General features: G+C 39.3%; 1 protein-coding gene across 4 annotated transcripts in view, besides 1 other annotated feature; it reads right to left on the bottom strand.

Moving 5' to 3' along the window:
- PAPOLG (poly(A) polymerase gamma) overlaps nucleotides 1-18,276 on the bottom strand; it is a 45,819-nt gene that overhangs the window by 25,977 nt on the left and 1,566 nt on the right. For all 4 annotated transcript variants that reach the window (XR_007080681.1, NM_022894.4, XM_005264500.5 and 1 more), the window contains exons 2-8: nucleotides 15,815-15,976; nucleotides 14,303-14,369; nucleotides 7,559-7,640; nucleotides 7,220-7,329; nucleotides 5,599-5,652; nucleotides 4,480-4,591; nucleotides 987-1,076 (exon numbers count right to left, since the gene is read on the bottom strand). Coding sequence is in view for 3 of the 4 variants with exons in the window: in NM_022894.4 (NP_075045.2) it covers nucleotides 987-1,076; nucleotides 4,480-4,591; nucleotides 5,599-5,652; nucleotides 7,220-7,329; nucleotides 7,559-7,640; nucleotides 14,303-14,369; nucleotides 15,815-15,976 (677 nt within the window). In the remaining variant the exon portion in view is untranslated. The remainder of the gene's footprint in view (nucleotides 1-986; nucleotides 1,077-4,479; nucleotides 4,592-5,598; nucleotides 5,653-7,219; nucleotides 7,330-7,558; nucleotides 7,641-14,302; nucleotides 14,370-15,814; nucleotides 15,977-18,276) is intronic.
- Nucleotides 16,483-16,982: an enhancer, noted in NCBI's record as "H3K4me1 hESC enhancer chr2:60986263-60986762 (GRCh37/hg19 assembly coordinates)". NCBI's record gives its function as "activates a minimal SCP1, AML or CMV promoter by ChIP-STARR-seq in naive H9 embryonic stem cells {active_cell/tissue: H9 hESC(naive)}" and the evidence as "EXISTENCE:reporter gene assay evidence [ECO:0000049][PMID:30033119]".

Below are 18,276 nucleotides of genomic sequence, written 5' to 3'. Positions count from 1 at the left end.
ATCAAGGAGTTATCTTCTTGTTTTACCATTTAAGAAACACATTTTGGAGCCGGGCTTGATGGCTCACGCCTGTAATCCCAGCACTTTGGGAGGCCGAGGCGAGCGGATCACAAGGTCAGGAGTTGGAGACCAGCCTGACAAACATGGTGAAACCCCGTCTCTACCAAAAATACAAAAAATTACCCGGGTATGGTGGTGCGTGCCTATAATCCCAGCTACTTGGTAGGCTGAGGCAGGAGAATCACTTGAACCCGGGAGGCAGAGGTTGGTGTGAGCCAAGATTGCCCACTGCACTCCAGCCTTGGCGACAGAGCAAGACTCCGTCTCAAAAAAAGAAAAAAAAAAAAGACTACAGTATAGTGTAAATGTAACTTTTATATGCACTGGGAAACAAAAAAAAAATTGTAATTTGCTTTACTGCAGTTGTCTGGAACCAAACCTACAATATCTCAGAGGTGTGCTTAAATAATAATACAGAATGTGCTGTGCCAGCTCAGTGGTAAGCAAAGGGATTTTTATGAACCTAAATATATAAACTATATATATAAACTAGTAACAGTTCCAGGCTTTATTAGAAAAGTGTTATAAGGTAAAAACAAGTGAAAGTCATCACTGTAGACTCTTCACTTAATGAACACCTACTACAGTATAAACCAGACTCTTTGCTGGTGTGAATACAAAGATACGTAAGATGGTGTTACCCACAGGGAGGGTATCAGTCTTCAAGTTCTGAATTATTCTGACTGCCTGACTGAACCTAAGATGAAAAGTCAGGGCTTTAAGTTTTTACCCAAGGGAGGAAGAGGTATACTACTTATCAAAACACCATAACCACTGTACTTGAAAAGCAAATAGCTATTACAGAGTTTATTGGCCCTTAACCTCCAACAATATCATTAGGTTCAGAGTTTCTATATATGCTTCTTTCACTGGCAAGAGAAAATTAGAATTTTATAATGCAAACATAAAAGACTAGGGATACTTACGTTTTGCCCATAATTTGACAGCTCTTAGGGTGAGTCTAAAAGTTTCTTTATTTGGCACTAAATGCAAAATTTCATCAGTAACTCTACAACCTGAAAAAGACAAAGCATTCATTTTTCACTATGCAGCAAATTCTCAGTTAATTCAAATGCCCTCCTAACTTCCAGACTCTCGAATGCTAAAAATATGAAAGATAATAAAACATTGGGGCTTATTTTATGTGTATGAAATTTACCACTTATGAGAAATCAGTTTGCTTTAGGGTAATTAAAAAAGACATGGGTAATGCAATCCAAAATGAGATGTGCCTGAGTATTTTTTAGTTTTCTTCCTTGACTATTAATCAAATACCTCCCAATTACAACACTGTAATTACTTCAATGTAAACCTTTTCCACAAATACTGTAATTTACTGTTACAATCTGGAAATACACCAAAGTGCAATAATGATTCGGTCAAACAAGACACTATAAAACATTGGTTCTCAATCCCAGCCCTTTGGTAGGCTGAGGTGGGTGGATCACCTGAGGTCAGGCGCTCGAGACCAGTCTGGCCAAAATGGTGAAACCCTGTCTCTACTAAACATACAAAAATTAGCCAGGTGTGGTGGTGGGCATCTATATTCCCAGCTACTCAAAGGGCTGAGGCAGGAGAATCGCTTGAACCCGGGAGGCGGAGGTTGTAGTGAGCTGAGATCACGCCACTGCACTCCAGCCTGGGCAATAGAGTGAGACTCTGTCTCAAAAAAAAAAAAAAAGACATTAGTTCTCAAAGTATGGTCTGGGTACCCCTGGGAATCTGTGAGGTCAAACTTTTTTTATAATAATACTAAGGCTTTTTTCACCGTGTTAACATTTGCACTGATGGTGCAAAAGAAACAGTGGATAAAACTGCAGGTACCTTGGCAGTCAATCAAGATGGGGCAACAGCGTGAACCCGGGAGGCGGAGTTTGCAGTGAGCCGAGATCGCGCCACTGCACTCCAGCCTGGGCGACAGAGCGAGACTCCCGTCTCAAAAAAAAAACAAAAAACAAAAAACACATGGGGCAACAAACTGCACTAGCAGAAAAAAATATCTTCACCACCACACACTTGCAGTTAAAAATAAAGGTGGGGAAAGAACATGTGAAACTGTGTAAGTTGTAAGCTCAACTACCTGCTTTTTTCAAGGAACACCAGTTTCACCTGAAAAAATAACTGGCAGATAAACTATAGTTATTCAGTTAGGTATTTCCTTAAAAATGGACAAAAGGAACCTCTCAGTTCAACTAAAACAAATGACAAAATTTGTTGCCAATAATAAAATTTAAGCTTTCAAGTTAAATCTGAATTTCAGACAACTTTTATCTGTTACTATGAGCTTGACACCTTTCCATACTTTTCTGTTGAGACTGGTCACTAATGACTGCTGGTTTTTTTTTTTTCACATTTTATAGTGAAATGTGTATTAACATTTGGAACATCCAAATAATTTTGTGAACCAATATTTTCCAAATGACCAAGGCATGATAGTACAAAATCATGCATGAATAAAGGGACCACTCAAAGAACAAGACAGATCAGTGGACTGTCATGTAACAGAATACAACAAGTTTGATATGATTTTAGATTCCATACTCTAACCTTTAAGAAACTATCATTTTTATTCAGCAACAAAACGGAACAAATACAGATAAACCTCACAAACATGCCAAATTAAAGAACCCTTACGCAAAAGACCACATAGGATTATTTTTATATGAAACGTCTTTAAGAGGCAAATCTACAAAGAAATAAAGCAGATTAGTGGTTGCCTGGGACTGCGGATTGGAAGGGGAAATGACTGCAAATGGGTATAAAGGATCTTTTGAGGGTGATAAAATATTCTAACATTGGATTGTAGTGTACTAAAGACCAGTGAAGTCCGGGCACGGTGGCTCATGCCTGTAATCCCAGCACTTTGGGAGGCTGAGGTTGGCATCACCTGATATCGAGAGTTTGAGGCCAGCCTGACCAACATGGAGAAACCCCGTCCCTATTAAAAATACAAAAAGATCAGCCAGGCGTGGTGGCACATGCCTGTAATTTCAGCTACTCAGGAGGCTGAGGCAGGAGAATCGCTTGAACCCAGAGGCGGAGGTTGCAGAGAGCTGAGATCGCGCCATCGCACTCCAGCCTGGGTAACAGTGTGAGACTCCGTCTCAAAAAAAAGAAAAGAAAAGAAAAGAAAAAGACCAGTGAGGTGTATAATGGTATGTAATTATATCTCAATAAAACTGTTAAAAAGAAAAAAAATGTTACTGGCCAAGTTTAAGAAGAATATCCATAATTATCTGAAAAGGCTATTAAAACACTCCTCCCTTTTCCAACTAAGAGGACAGATTTTTTCTTTCTTTTTTGAGACGGAGACTCGCTCTGTCACCCTGGCTGGATTGTGGTGGCATGATCTCAGCTCACCACAACCTCCGCCTTCTGGGTTCAAGTGATTTTCCTGCCTCAGCCTCCCGAGTAGCTGGGATTACAGGTAAGCACCACCACACTTGGCTAGTTTTTTATTTTTAATAGAGATGGGGTTTTACCATGTTGTCCAGGCTGGTCTCAAACTCCTGACCTCAGGTGATCTGCCTGCCTTGGCCTGCCAAAGTGCTGGGATTAGAGGCATAAGCCACTGTGCCTGGCCTCTTTTTTTTTTTTTTTTTTGAGACAGGGTCTCACTCTGTCACCTAAGCTAGAGTGCAGTGGCGTAATCACGGCTCACTGCAGCCTCCACCTCGGGGGCTCAGGTGATCCTCTCACCTCAGCCTCCTGAGTAGCTGGAACTACAGGCGAGTGCCACTACATCCAACTAAATGTTTTTTATTTTTGGTAGAGATGGGGTTTCACCATGTTATCCTAGCTGGTCTGGAAACTCCTGGGCTCAAGTAATCCATTCACCTTGGCCTCCCAAAGGGCTGGGATTACAGGCGTGGGCCACCACGCCCGGCCAGATTTTATTCTTATATGTTAACCAAAACAAAATATTACAATCAATTGTAGACACAAATGAGAATCTAGCTGTCTTCTATCAGGCCTAATATTAAAGAGACTTGCAAAATGTTAAAAAAAAAAAAGAAGCCATTCTTCACACACAAAAGTTTATATTAATTTAAAATGGGTTCATTATTTATAAATGAATAAGTACTTTTTAAATTTCTCAGTTTTTATTTTTTAACATGGTAAATATTGACAGATATAACCCACATAAACAAAAGCTTTTTGGGGTCCTCCATAAATCTTAAGAGTGTAAAGAAGTCTTGAGACCAGTAAGTTTGAGAACCAGTAATATAAATATACACAGCCTTTCAAATAAATTTGTGGTTTTTAGGATTCTTAAATGTGGTCACATTATCTGTATAAGGAAAATTACATTTTAAACTGAGTCCAATCTCCAAAACTGAATAGTCAATTCAGCAAAAATATCTATATTTCTCTAATTGTTCTGAAGCAGGTATCTGAGATTTCTTTTTAGAAGCTTACCATTTAAGCTGCGAATACACCTTATATCAAGGCTTCTCAGGCGAGAGTCGTCTCTTAGATCTAAATTATCTGATATGGTTTGTATTGCCAGTCTTGCAAAGACTAGATCAATCTTTGGAAAGATGTGAAAAAAGAGAAAAAAATTACATTTTCTCCTTTTAATCCATCCTCTCCCATCCCACCAAAAAATGTGAAAAGCTCTGGTTATGAGTTTGGGAAGTTCTACCAAAGCTTCGATAGGCCTATGTAGGCAGTCTCACATGGGAAAATCACTATAAAGTTGTGTTAAGGTAATTAAACTTTCAATTAATGAAAGCATTTAAATGTTAACATATATGCCAAGCAGAAAAAAAAATCAAAGCCTTATGAGCAAATTTCTAGATAAAGATAGAAGATCCAACACACATTTACATTCACTCCCTCTTGAAACCTCACTAAAATACCACGAAAATTCAATTTTATTTTTGTGTTTAGTATTATTTTGATGTTAAAGGCAAAATTCACTAGGACAAAGAACAGAAAGTGACAAACAAAAGCTATGAAAGCTGGAAAGCAGATGGACAAGTGGTAACAGACCCAGTAGACCTAAGAAAGCAGATAAAAATGTCATATCTAGGAAATAAGGTCAGGAGGCTGTAAATAAATGCAGACAAAAATAAAAAGGAACATTTAAAGAATAAAATAGTATTCTTAGAAATTAAAAATATGGGCCAGGCGCGGTGGCTCATGCCTGTAATCCCAGCACTTTGGGAGGCCAAGGTGGGCGGATCACGAGGTCAGGAGATTGAGACCATCCTGGCTAACACGGTGAAACCCCGTCTCTACTAAAAATACAAAAAATTAGCCAGGTGTGGTGGTGTGTGCCTGGAATCCTAGCCACTCAGGAGGCTCAGGTGGAAGGATCACTTCAACCCAGGTGCTCAAAGGTGCAGTGAGCTATGATTGTGTCACTATACTCCAGCCTTGGCCATAGAGTTAGACCCCATCTCTTCATTAAAAAAAAAAAAAGAGATTACTTGATTTTTTAAAATATGCATTTATGTTAAGCCTGATTTCAGAAAACAAACTTACAAGTTTAAACAGTTCAATTGTAAAGTCAGAAAAATATTAAACACTTACTTCAATACCATCAAATTCAAATTTTATAACAGGTACAAAGGCATCTTCTACAGCCTACAAAAAAGGAAAACAATTATAACACATAGGTGTAATCCCTTCTTTATCCTTCCTAACTACCAATAATGTGAATATCTTTACTCCCGATTTGTATTTTAACCACATAGAAGTAATCCCTTCTTTATCCTTTCTAACTACCAATAATGTGAATATCTTTACTCCCGATTTGTATTTTAACTCAATAGACAAAGTGAAAATGTTTCTGGTCTTACATTCCAGGTAAGTATTTCTACTTTGTGACCTGTATTATGTAAGATACACAAAATGCCTGTTACAGTATCTAATTTATTATCCCTCTAAAAATATTCCTCAGAACTGGAAAGCAAAACTGCTATCGTCTGCAGCCATAAAAAACAGTGAGTTCATGTTCTTTGCAGGGACATGGATGAAACTGGAAGCCATCATTCTCAGCAAACATAGGAACAGAAAACCAAACACAGCATGTTCTCACTCATAAGTAAGAGTTGAACAATGAGAACACATGGACACAGGGAGAGAAACATCACACATTGGGGCCTGTCGGGGGGTGGGGGACAAGGGAGGGAGAACATTACGACAAATACCTAATGCATGCAGATCTTAAAACCTAGATAATGGGTTGATAGGTGCAGCAAACCACCATGGCACATGTATACCTATGTAACAAACCTGCACGTTCTGCACATGGTATTCCAGAACTTAAAGTAAAATTAAAAAAACAAACAAAAAAACAAAAACCTGCTATCATCTGGGTACTTATAATTTCGAGTCTAAACTGAAAACTGATTATTTAGAAAGGCTACTAGAGTTAGAAATTTTAAAATAATGAAAGCTCATGATTAATCTATCAAAAATTTAATTAATACAGTTGAGATTAGTAGAAACCATTAGGTTTTCTGAGTCTTCCTTAACTCCCCAACCTAACAAATTCTTAACTTCCTTGTCTAAAAACATTCCCAGATTCCCCAAATATCACAGATTCTTTGACCTTCACCTTATTCTAGCACTTCAGAATGCATTAACACTGTTTTGTTTATTTAGTTCACATAACCCCCTCCTCAATAAACAATGTCTTGTTTACTATTGTATCTGTAAGACTAATGCCAGCATCTAACAAATTACTAGTGCTGAAATTTTATTTGCTGAATGAATGGCTAGATATACACATATAAAGAGTTACTAACTGAACCTTACACATAATAGCACTCATCATTTGATATGTATCAATCATTGTTGGCTACTACAGTAAATGGTTTATGTAAATATCTCATCAATACTCAAAAACCTTATAAAAAAGTTATTACCACATCTCTGTTTTACAGATCAGGAAACAGGCTCAGAGGATTAGGTTACTTGACCAAGATCTAGGAGCTATTATGTAGTAGATTCTAGATGCCAACCCAAGTCTGTATAACTCTAAGGCCCATGTTCTTAATCATGATTTAATCATCACTTATTAAAGCTACTCTTATTAAATACCTCCTAATAGTAACTTAGAAGGTATTTCAATAGTTTTAAGCCCTAGTTTTTATAGATATTTGTTACTAATCTAAATTCAAAATATTAAATGCCAGAGGATACTTACTCTTAAGTTTCTAATGCCATCTTGATGTTTCAATTTTTCAAAAAAAGACTGAAAAAAATCAGATCTTTCCACATGTCTTGGAGCTACACAAAGTGCATCAATGTCAGCTCCTGTAAATTAAAGTAGTTCTTAATTAAGAATATATTATGTGTTATATTCTTTGTTAAAGTACACACAAACATATGTACAGAAGAAAGTATGGAAGTTGAGTACAAGAAAATGTTAACAATGATTAGCTCTAAGTAGTGAAATAGTGGGAACTTTGTTCTCCTACATTTTCTAATTATGAAGAGTTTGTTATTGAATGTTCTTAGCACTAGAACACAGAAAAGCAGTTACCTTTGGTGTGTACTCCAAGCCTATAGGATCCAAATGTGAAAATTTTACCACCAACAGTAGCCACAACAGAAGGTGGGAGGTTCTAAAATAAAATTAAGCGGAAGACATTCAATTATTCAAATTATTTAGCATAAAAGTCACCTCAATGTTGGCTGGGCATGGTGGCTCACACTTGTAATCCCAGCACTATAGGAGGCCAAGGCCGGTGGATCACCTGAGGTCAGGAGTTCAAGACCAGCCTGGCCAACATGGCAAAACTTCTTCTCTACTAGGAATACAAAAGTTAGCTGGGCGTGGTGGTGGCCACCTGTAATCCCAGCTGCTTGGTAGGCTGAGGCAGGAGAATCACTTGAACCTGGGAGGTGGAGGTTGCAGCGGCCGAGATTGTGCCATTGCACTCCAGTCTGGGGAACAAGAGTGAAACTCTGTCTCAAAAAATAAAAAAAAAAATCACCATAATGTCTACTGACCTTTATTGAGCAAATGATACATGATTAGATTTGCCAACCTTGTCAAGATTAGATTTGTAAAAGTGCTTCACAGATCCTCTGGTTGTGATCTGAAGTAATAAGGGTATTCCCAGAGGAAAGACAAAACAAATTCACCCCCACTACACATACATACATCCCTATCTGAAGAAAAGCTTTTCTTTTTAATCACTTGACCATACTTGTCCCCTCCAACTGCCTGTCTTTCGCTTCATCACTCTTTCGGTAGTCAACAAGGAACTCTCAGTTACCAGACTAATGTGCTTTCACCTCTCTAAAACATAACACTCTTGGCCAATCCCATATCCCCTTTAGTTTTTGTGACAGGTATGTTTAATTTCTTGATTCTAGCTCTACAACCTTTCTGTAAGAACGGAGTCATTCCTGACATGATCTCCTTATGAGAGCTATTCTAACAAGCTTAATTAACATTTCTTGGATTATAATGTAATTAAAATGCTACTTTTTGGCTGGGCGTGGTCATGCCTGTAATCCCAGCACTTTGGGAGACTGAGGCAAGAGGTCCACTTGTGTCCAGTTCAAGACCAGCCTGAGCAACACAATGAGACACCATCTCTACAAAAAAGAAAACATTAGCTAGGCATGTGGCGTGTGCCTGTAGTCTCAGCTACTGAGGAGGCTGCAATGGGACAACTGCTTGAGCCCAGGAGGTTCAGCCTCAACAACAGTGAGACCTTGCCTCAAAAAAAAAAAAAAAGAAAGAAAAAGAAAAAAAAGCTAATTTTCACCTCTTGAGAGCTAGTTCCAAAAGCCCATCAGATAGTCACTCAAGTATCCTGATCCACTTCAATATCCAGCCTCAAGCAAGCAAAAAAATTCTTCCAATGATAACAGTCAGATATTGCTTCTGAGTTCTCTATTTTTGTTCCTCATTATCCTTACTGCCCAAACCTTTTCCTTCTTCTTGGCTTACCAATTCTTAGCTTATATCCCTCAAATTTGTGGCCTCCTTTCTATTCAACGACTACTCCCCTAATTCTAGGCTATTTAATGGCATCCTAAACTACCCCTAATTAATCTTCCTTTTCTCTTTCACTATCTTGTATAAAATTCACTGGCTGATGTTCTTAAATTACTCTATTAAATATAGTTGTTGTACTCAAAAGTTGCCAATGTCTTCTTCCCTAACTACTGAGGTAAGGATCCTTGGGCCTGTTGTTGAAAATCTCCACGACATGTTCCTAGGGATCTTTCTTGCCTTGTCTTCTTATCTTCCTTTCTGAAGCTCCAACTACCTACCAACCAACCAACATGGTTACAGAATCCAACCTCCTTTTCACTGCATTTGCCATTGTTCCTGCCTCAAGTGCTTGCCCATTCTTTCTGGGCATCTTTTGTTTTTTTGGGTTTTTTTTTTTTTTTTAAACAGATGGAGACGGGGTTTCACTGTGTTGCCCAGGCTGAAGTGAGCACAGCAGTGTGATCTTAGCTCACCACAGCCTCAAACTACTGAGCACAAAATATTCCCCCTGCCTTGGCTTACAGAGTATCTGAGACTACAGACAGGTACCACTGTGCCTGGGTAATTTTTAAATAATTTTTGTAAAGATGGGGTCTTGCTTTTTTGCCCAGGCTGGTCTCAAGTTCCTGTTTTAAAGCGATCCTCCTGTCTCAGCCTCCCAAAGTGCTGGGATCACAGGCATGAGCCACCATGTCCAGCTTCTGGCTATCGGTATCATCCACTTTTAGAAGTTCACTTCAAGTTCCACCTCTTCCATGAAGCCTTCCCTGGTTATCCTTACTCCCTAACAAGCTTTTTTTTCCTCTGTGCTTTCTGCCATTACAATTCTTAAATTCTTTTTTGCTATATTTACTGACTTCTTTGGCATGTAAAATCATATTTCATATTTAATCTTCAATCATATTTACATTTCTCAGAGTTAAGAACTGTGTCTACTGCTTCTCTGTATTTTCTCACAATGCCCAGTACAAGTTCTAAAGAATATCTGCTGATTAACTTCAACTTGAATGTAAGTATCTATATAATAGGATATTATCCTTGTTAATGCTTCTGTGTAATGAATATTAAGGTTAAGAGTATCACAAATAATTTTATAGCTAGAAAGAAGTTAGTAAATTAATCAGATTTTTTAAAGAGACAGAGTCTTGTTATGTTGCCCAGGCTGGCCTTGAACTCTTAGGCTCAAGATCTTCCTGCTTCAGCCTCCTGAGTAGCTGGGACTACAGGCATGCACCACCATGCCCAGGAATCTGTAAATTTATTGATGATTAACATGAATGAAATGGACAGAGAAGACAGGACCTTAAAAAAATCTTTTAGTTCACATTTCTATTTTGAGAAGTCTGATTCTCGCATGATTTATGAGAAAGTGATATGCTAAATCAGTTTGCCACAGCCATAGTATCTAACCAAAATGATTTGATGTGGGATTCTACACTATTTAAAGTTTAAATATCCCAATTGTGTACAGATTCAAATCATCTTTGATTAAACCCAAATCCTTCAGTTACTTTCCAAAGTAAAATATACATAAAGAGAATTACAGGCTGTGAGTGGTGGCTCATGCCTATAATCCTAACACTTCGGGAGGCTGAGGTGGGAGGTTCACTTGAGCTCAAGAGTTCAAGATCAGCCTGGCAACACAGTGAGACCTCGTCACTTTTTTTTTTAAAATCAAAAAAAAAAAAAAAGAGAATTATAGGCTGGGTGTGGTTGTGACTCATGCCTGTAATCTCAACACTATGGGAAGCCAAAGCAGGAGGATCACTTGAGTACAAGAGTTTGAGGACAGCCTGGGCAACATGGCAAGACCCCATCTCTACCAAAAAAAAAAAAAAAAAAAAAAGTAGCTAGGCATCAGGATGTGTACCTGTAGCCTCTGCTACTTGGGGGGCTGGGGTGAGAGGATTGCTTGAGCCTAGGAGTTTGAGGCTGTAGTGAGCCATGATTATGCATGCCACTGCACTCCAGCTTGGGAGACAGACTGAGAGATCCTTCCCCCATTCCCCCACACAAAAGAGACAATTACAATTCACAAAGAAAAATGACCTCATCTGCTCAATGGAAGATGTTAACTAACTTTATTTTTTTTGACTACCTGTCACTAGCATTTCCATCTGCTCAGAATTTGACTCATCCAATAACTTCAACTATTGATAACCCTGGTGAGTTCAGAAATGAGGCAGACAGCCTTTTGGCAACAAAAGTAAATAGCATAAATACCATGTTAAACTCAACGACTGTAGTCTTTAGGAGACTCAACTTTATTCTGAGCCCACTGTTTAAAAGAACCAATTCTACATATTCATCATAGCTACAGAAAAAAATAATAAAAGCTGTAAAAGAAAGAATTCTAGACCGGGTGTGGTGGCTCATGCCTATAATCCTAGCACTTTGGGAGGCCAAGGCAGTTGGATTGCTTGAACTCAGGAGTTCGAGATCAGCCTGGCCAACATGGCAAAACCCCGTCTCTATCAAAAATACAAAAATTAGCCAGGTGTGGTGGTGCATGCCTGTGGTCCCAGCTACTAGGGAGGCTGAGGTGGGGAGGTTGGGAGGACTGCTGGAGCCTGGGAGGCGGAGGTTGCAGTGAGCTGAGATCGCGCCACTGCATTCCAGCCCGGGTGACAGAGTAAGAGCCCATCGCCAAAAAAAAAAAAAAAATCTGCAGTTGTTTACCTAATTTCTAAATCCATGCAGATTAAGGGGCAGAAAGGGACTTTACAGCTAGACACACTGACAACTGTGAGTTTTAAACAGTGGGCTTTCTTTTAAACAGTGGGCTTTCAACTGACTGCTGTTAAGGCAAAGATAGGAAAACTATGAAAAACAAAAACCTTAAAATATAACAGTATGGGCTACCTAGTGATGAGGCAAATGGTATCACCCAGTTGAACATTCTCTCCCTCATTCTGGTACAGCCAGTAAAATAACCTTCGCAGTGGTGATTCTCAGACAATAATAAAAATTCAATTGTGAGGCAGGGCATGGTGGCTCATGCCTGTAATCCCAGCACTCTGGGAGGCCGAAGAGAATGGATTACTTGAGGTCAGGAGTTCGAGACCAGCCTGGCCAACATGGTGAAACCCCATCTCTACCAAAAATTCAAAAATTAGCTGGGCATGGTGGCGTGCACCTGTAATCCCAGCTACTCGGGAGGCTGAGGCAAGAGAACTGCTTGAACACAGGGGTGGAGGTTGCAGTGAGTCAAGATTACGCCACTGCACTGCAGCCTGGGCAACAGAGAGAGACCATGTCTCAAACAAGAACAAAACCAAGGCCAGGTGTGATGGCTCACACCTGTAATCCCAGAAATTTGGGAGGCTGAGGCGGGTAGATCACCTGAGGTCAGGAGTTTGAGACCAGCCTGACCATTATGGTGAAACCCCGTCTCTACTAAAAATATAAAAATTAATTGGGCATGGTGGTGTGCACCTGTAGCCCCAGCTACTTGGGCGGCTAAGACAGGAGAATCGTTTGAACCTGGGAGGTAGAGGCTGCTGTGAGCTGAGATCTCGCCACTGCACTCCAGCCTGGGTGACAGAGCAAGATTCTATCTCAAAAACAAAAACAAAAACAATTATATTCAAAATATAGTTAGCCTTCCGTATCTGCAGTTTCCACATCTGCAGATTCAACCAATCACACACAGATAAAAAATACTGGGGGGAAAAAGCCATAAAAAATCAAGCAAATTTTAGGCAAGGCGCAGTGGCTCATGCCTGTAATCCCAGCACTTTGGGAGGCTGAGGTCAGAAGACTGCTGGAGACCAGGAGTTTGAGACCAGCCTGGGTAATACAGTGATACTCTTGTGTCTACAAAAAATAATAAACAAAATAAGCCAAGCACAATTGTGCATTCCTACAGTTCCAGCTATTCAGGAGGCTGAGGTGGGAGGATCACTTGAGCCCAGGAGTTTGAGACTGCAGTGAGCTATGTAACTGTGCCACTGTACTGCAGCCTGGGTGACAGAGGGAGATCCTGTCTATAAAAAAAAAATAAAATAAAATTTATGGTTGGGCGTGGTGGCTCAAGCCTGTAATCCCAGCACTTGGGGAGGCTGAGGTGAGATCATGCCACTGCACTATAGCCTGGGTGACAGAGCAAGACTCTGTCTCCAAAAAAAAATAAAATAAAATAATGAATAAAATTTAGGCTGGGCGCGGTGGCTCGAGGCTGTAATCCCAGCACTGTGGGAGGCTGAGGCAGGCGGATCACCTGAGATCAGGAGTTCGAGACCAGCCTGGTCAACATGATGAAACCACGTCTCTACTAAAAATACAAAAATTAGCCCGGTGTGGTGGTACACGTCTGTAGTCCCAGCTACTCGGGAGGCTGAGGCAAGAGAATCACTTGAATCTGGGAGGAGGAGGTTGCACTGAGCCAAGATTGCACCACTGCATTCCAGCCTTGGCCAAAGAGGGAGATTCCATCTCAAAAAAAGAAAAAAAAATTTAAACATGCTAATAAAAAAAAAATTACAGTGACAACTATTTACATAGCATTAACATTGTATTAGATATTTTAAGTAATCTAGAAATGACTGAAAGTATGCAAAAGGATCTGAAAAGGTAACATGCAAATATGTACTATATTATTTCATATAAGGAACCTGAGCATCCACAGATTTTAGTATCTTTGGAGGTCCCAGAACCAATCCCCCGGAGGATACCAAGGGAGGACTGCACTACACAAAGCAGGAAATTGTAATCAATTTCAGGAAAAAAATAGTTAAGCTACAGGAGGGGAAAAAGGTTGTGTAGTTATAAATTAGTTTGCAAATTCCTATGTCTTAGGAACCAAGCAGGTAGGCAAATAAGGGAATCCCACATGAGAAACATAGTAACTGCTCAATTAATCACCTTGCAAAGAAAACAGGGAGTGGTGGGGGCCATGAGGCAATGGAAGACAGGAGCCCAATCCCCTTCAAGCCTCTTCCTGCTGTGCACAAAGGCAGGCCCAGCATTGCCAGATCTAATACTTTATAAAAACAGCTGAAATGTGATTTTTAAGTAAAATCTGATATTTAAATTTTGGCCTACTACATATGAGTCAAATAAGACAATTATGTGGACTCACAGCTATATATTGGCTACTTCTGGGTAATCCTCATCTACTTAGAAATTCAACTGTCTAGACCAATTCATTCCTACATATACCAGAGAGCCAAGCTTTGATGTATTTCAGATACTTCTCAACACCTGCATCTTATTGCCAGGATGAATGGCCAAGATATAATAAAAACAAGAATTCCACATAGTTTAGAGTCTTACCTTACTCTCGCTGACATCAGAAATCCATTCTTTTACTAAATTGTTCAATTTACCAAGAACCACCAGCCTATAAAAAAAAATGCTTCAGATTAAAACAAACAAACAAATGAACAAACAGTATTTTTAAAAACCCATATAGGCAGTACCCTTTGTGTTGATGCTGGGGTAAAACCATAACATATATGTGATAATGCTATCACATCTACTGACACAGGGCCATCTCTTTGGCATTTTTAGATCCTTAACAGTGCCAAAGAGGTGATAAATCTGATTACAGTATTTTAGTTTTTGAGCTATTTTCAAAAATTCAAAAAGCCTAATAAAAATCATAAAATTGCCTTCAATGAGGCTGTAAAGGCTTAGTGAACTGTCAACTTTCTTGGCTTTACTATGGAATTAATTCAATACAATGTGGTAATAGAAGCTAGAATTCTCTCATTGCTAGTAATAGGTCTTTGACTAATTAAAATGGGGGAACTAATTACTGGCTAATTTCTGTCTAATAGTATTAAAGTAGTTTGGTATTATTAAAACAACTTATAACCAATGGTGTAAATGAATCCACATTTAGAAGAGAAAAGTAGGGTTTAGACATACCAAAGATAACATGCAAAACTGAACGTCTGTCCAAACTTACTTCTTCCTCAGTCTTCCACAAATAATGAAATTCCATCCTTCAAGGTGCCAAGACCAAAAATCTTGGCCATCATCCTTGACCCCTCACACACACATTCCAGTCATTAAACCCTAAGAACCCTACCTTTAAAATATATCCAGATTTCTACTTTTTATTACCTCTACGACCATCCTCCAGGTTCTAGCCACCATCATTTCCTCCTAGGGCTATTATAATGGCTTGCTAACTGGTTTCTCTGCTCTGCCCTTGCACTTCTCCTAAGATTACTCTCAATACAGCAGCCAGAGTGACTGTTAAAACTTTTTTAAGTCATCATGTCAATCTTCTTTTCAAAACCCTAATAGCTTCTCATTTCACTCAGAATAAACCAAACCTTGACAACACCTTACAAGGTCCTAAGAGCTCTTGCCCTCCAAGCTCCTTCCCACCTTGCTTTCATTAAGCCTATATTTTCCTGCTTCCTCACTGCTCAGACACCCAGGGTATCTTGCTATGCACTCTTCAAATACACCACTTCAAGAGTTCTGCCTAGAACACTTTTCCCTCAGATAGACACATGGCTCCCTCCTTCATCTTTAAATTTTCCCTTAAATGTAACTTTCTCAATGAGGCTTTCCCTGAAACCTCTACCCCCTCAGCTTTTTCTCAGTAGCACTTATCATGTGTAATATTACTCATGAGTGTCATACTGATATTATTGATGACAAATCTCTTCTTCTAACCCCTACCTAAAATGTAAGCTCCAAGAGGGCCAAGATTTTTCTTTTTGTCATTTCTGCACCTGTATCTAGAGACACAGTAGGTATTCAATATGTTCGCAGAATTAATGATTAAATAATGCACTGTCAAATATTTTATGGTTTTCAATGACATACCTGTGGTTCAATTCTTCCTCATCTTCAAACACTCCAAATGGTTTCATGGCGTCAATTAATTTCTGTGTGTAAATATGATCAATTTCTTTAGGAGATGCCAAACTAATTGGGGAGGTAATTCCATAATGCTTTTGTTGACGCTGGCTGTCCAGCACGGTGTTTCTGTTCAAGAAAATAAGAAAAATGAAACAAAAAATTTAAAGTATATACCATACTGATACACTGAATCTCTCAATCTACTCATGTTAATTTAGCTACCTTAAAAGTTTACTTAGTAATAACAGTAGTGGCAGACACTTTCTTGTAAAGGAAAAATGGGTATTTTATGTTTATGTTTATGAAGGGGCTATTCATACTGCCTGCAGCTTTCATGGTTAGGATGTTTTTTCAAGCCAAGCGCAGCATGTGTTGGCATCAAGACAATTGTACCAACACCACTCAGCTCAAACCCAGAGTTTGATTGGGATCTGTGCCAGGGCCACCTCCACTACCCTGCAGACTTAAGTCAAGTGCCATCCAGATTCTAGAATCTTTGAAAAGCAGTCAACCACTTGAAATAAAGCTTTTAGTAAAAACAATGGGTTTTTTTCCCCAGGAAAGAAATGAAAACATCCCATTAGAAGGTCCTTGTGAAATAATCTGGCTTTTAAAAAGAAATCACAATTAGATTTGTCCTTGGGAAACCGAGGTTAACATCCTCTGCTTGAATCAGAGTTTACAGTCCTAGTACTTTGTGATTCTAGTTAATTATTCTCTTCATTTTAGACTGGTACCCATACCATCTTCACATTGAAATAAAATTCTTTATACTACTGGCAATCTTTTGGAAGATACATGAGCCACCCTCCAAACATCTTAGCCATCAAGAAACTACGGTCTTGAATAAAGTACAACAGAAGTTCTGAGACTTTTTTTTCTTTTTTTTTTTGAGATGGAGTCTCTCTCTGTCTCCCAGGCTGGAGTGCATTGGGGAGATCTCAGCTCACTGCAACCTCTGCCTCCTGGGTTCAAGCAATTCTCCTACCTCAGCCTCCCAAGTAGCTGGGATTACAGGCATGTGCCACCACACCCAGCTACTTTTTGTATTTTTAGTAGAGACGGAGTTTCGCCATGTTGCCAGGCTGGTCTCGAACTCCTGACCTCAGGTGATCCAACAGTCTCGGCCTCCCACGGTGCTGGGATCACAGGCGTGAGCCCCCGCGCTCAGCCAATTCAAGTTCTGAGATTTTGAGTTTACACAAACTAATCAACTTCAAAATAAATTCTGGGACCAACAGGGGTTGGCAAAACTTCTAATTTTGCTATGAAAGTAAAAACATACACACTAAACGACCAACACTACCATTTATCTTCACCATGCTTCCATGAAGGGCCATTAACACCAAGAGTAAGAATGTAATCTCAAAATTAGAAACAATCTTTCAAGTTGAATAAATTAGCCCTGTAAAAAATAACATACAATAGAGATTGTTTAATTGTTTTTGGATTCTAACTGGTCAAAACACTGTCTTACCACTACTAAGTACACAGAGTAAGACACGCTGTAATAGCTAAAGATCTCATTAGAGGCCGGGCGTGGTGCCTCATGCCTGTAATCCCAGTACTCTGGGAGGCCAAGGCAGGTGGATTACTTGAGGTCAGAAGTTCAAGATCAGCCTGGCCAACATGGTGAAACCCCGTCTCTACTGAAAATACAAAAAATTAGCTGGGCATGGTGGCGGACGTCTGTAATCCCGGCTACTCGGGAGGCTGAGGCAGGAGATTCGCTTGAACCCAGGAGACGAAGGTTGCAGTGAACCAAGATCGCGCCACCACACTCCAGCCTGGGCAACAAGAGCGAAACTCCGTCTCAAAAAAAAAAAAAAAAAAAAAATCTCATTAGGCAGAGAGGGAGAAAGAATCAAATGGAAGATAAAATAGCCTGTATACCTTCCAAAATGACTCAAAAAAAAAAAAAAAAAAAAAAACCCCAGAAACCAAAATACTGGTTAATTTATCTTCTGTATTTATTTTGTTGTAGAACAAACAAAACTTCAATTAGTTATTTCAAGTGGTAATTTCTTTTTAAAGATTTGGCTTTTTACCTCTGAGAAAGCTAGAGCAGTGTTTTGGTATTGTTTGTGTAATACATATGTAAATATATACGGTAAGTGAATAGGACAGAGTAATTATCTACATATCTATATAGTATCACTCAATCGCAATAATCCTAAGGGGTATTGAATAAGTGCCATTTTACAGATAAGTACCTGAAAGTCAAAGAGAGGACAAGCCAGAATCTGAACTCCAAAACCTCTTTCCACTACTCCATTCTCTCCTCTCTAACTACTTCAGCTCTGACACCATGATGACGGGCCTCACTTTTTTACCTGTATGCTGACAAAGTTGGCCAACTAGCCTACTGGCCCTAAAATTCCAAATCCAGGTTCTGAACTTCCCCCATCTAGAGGGGAGGGGAAAGT

The sequence above is a fragment of the Homo sapiens genome, chromosome 2 (genome assembly GCF_000001405.40).
Source record: "Homo sapiens chromosome 2, GRCh38.p14 Primary Assembly".
NCBI lineage: Eukaryota > Metazoa > Chordata > Mammalia > Primates > Hominidae > Homo > Homo sapiens.
Note: the sequence above shows the minus strand (reverse complement) of the source record. Positions and strands in the feature narration are given on the sequence as shown.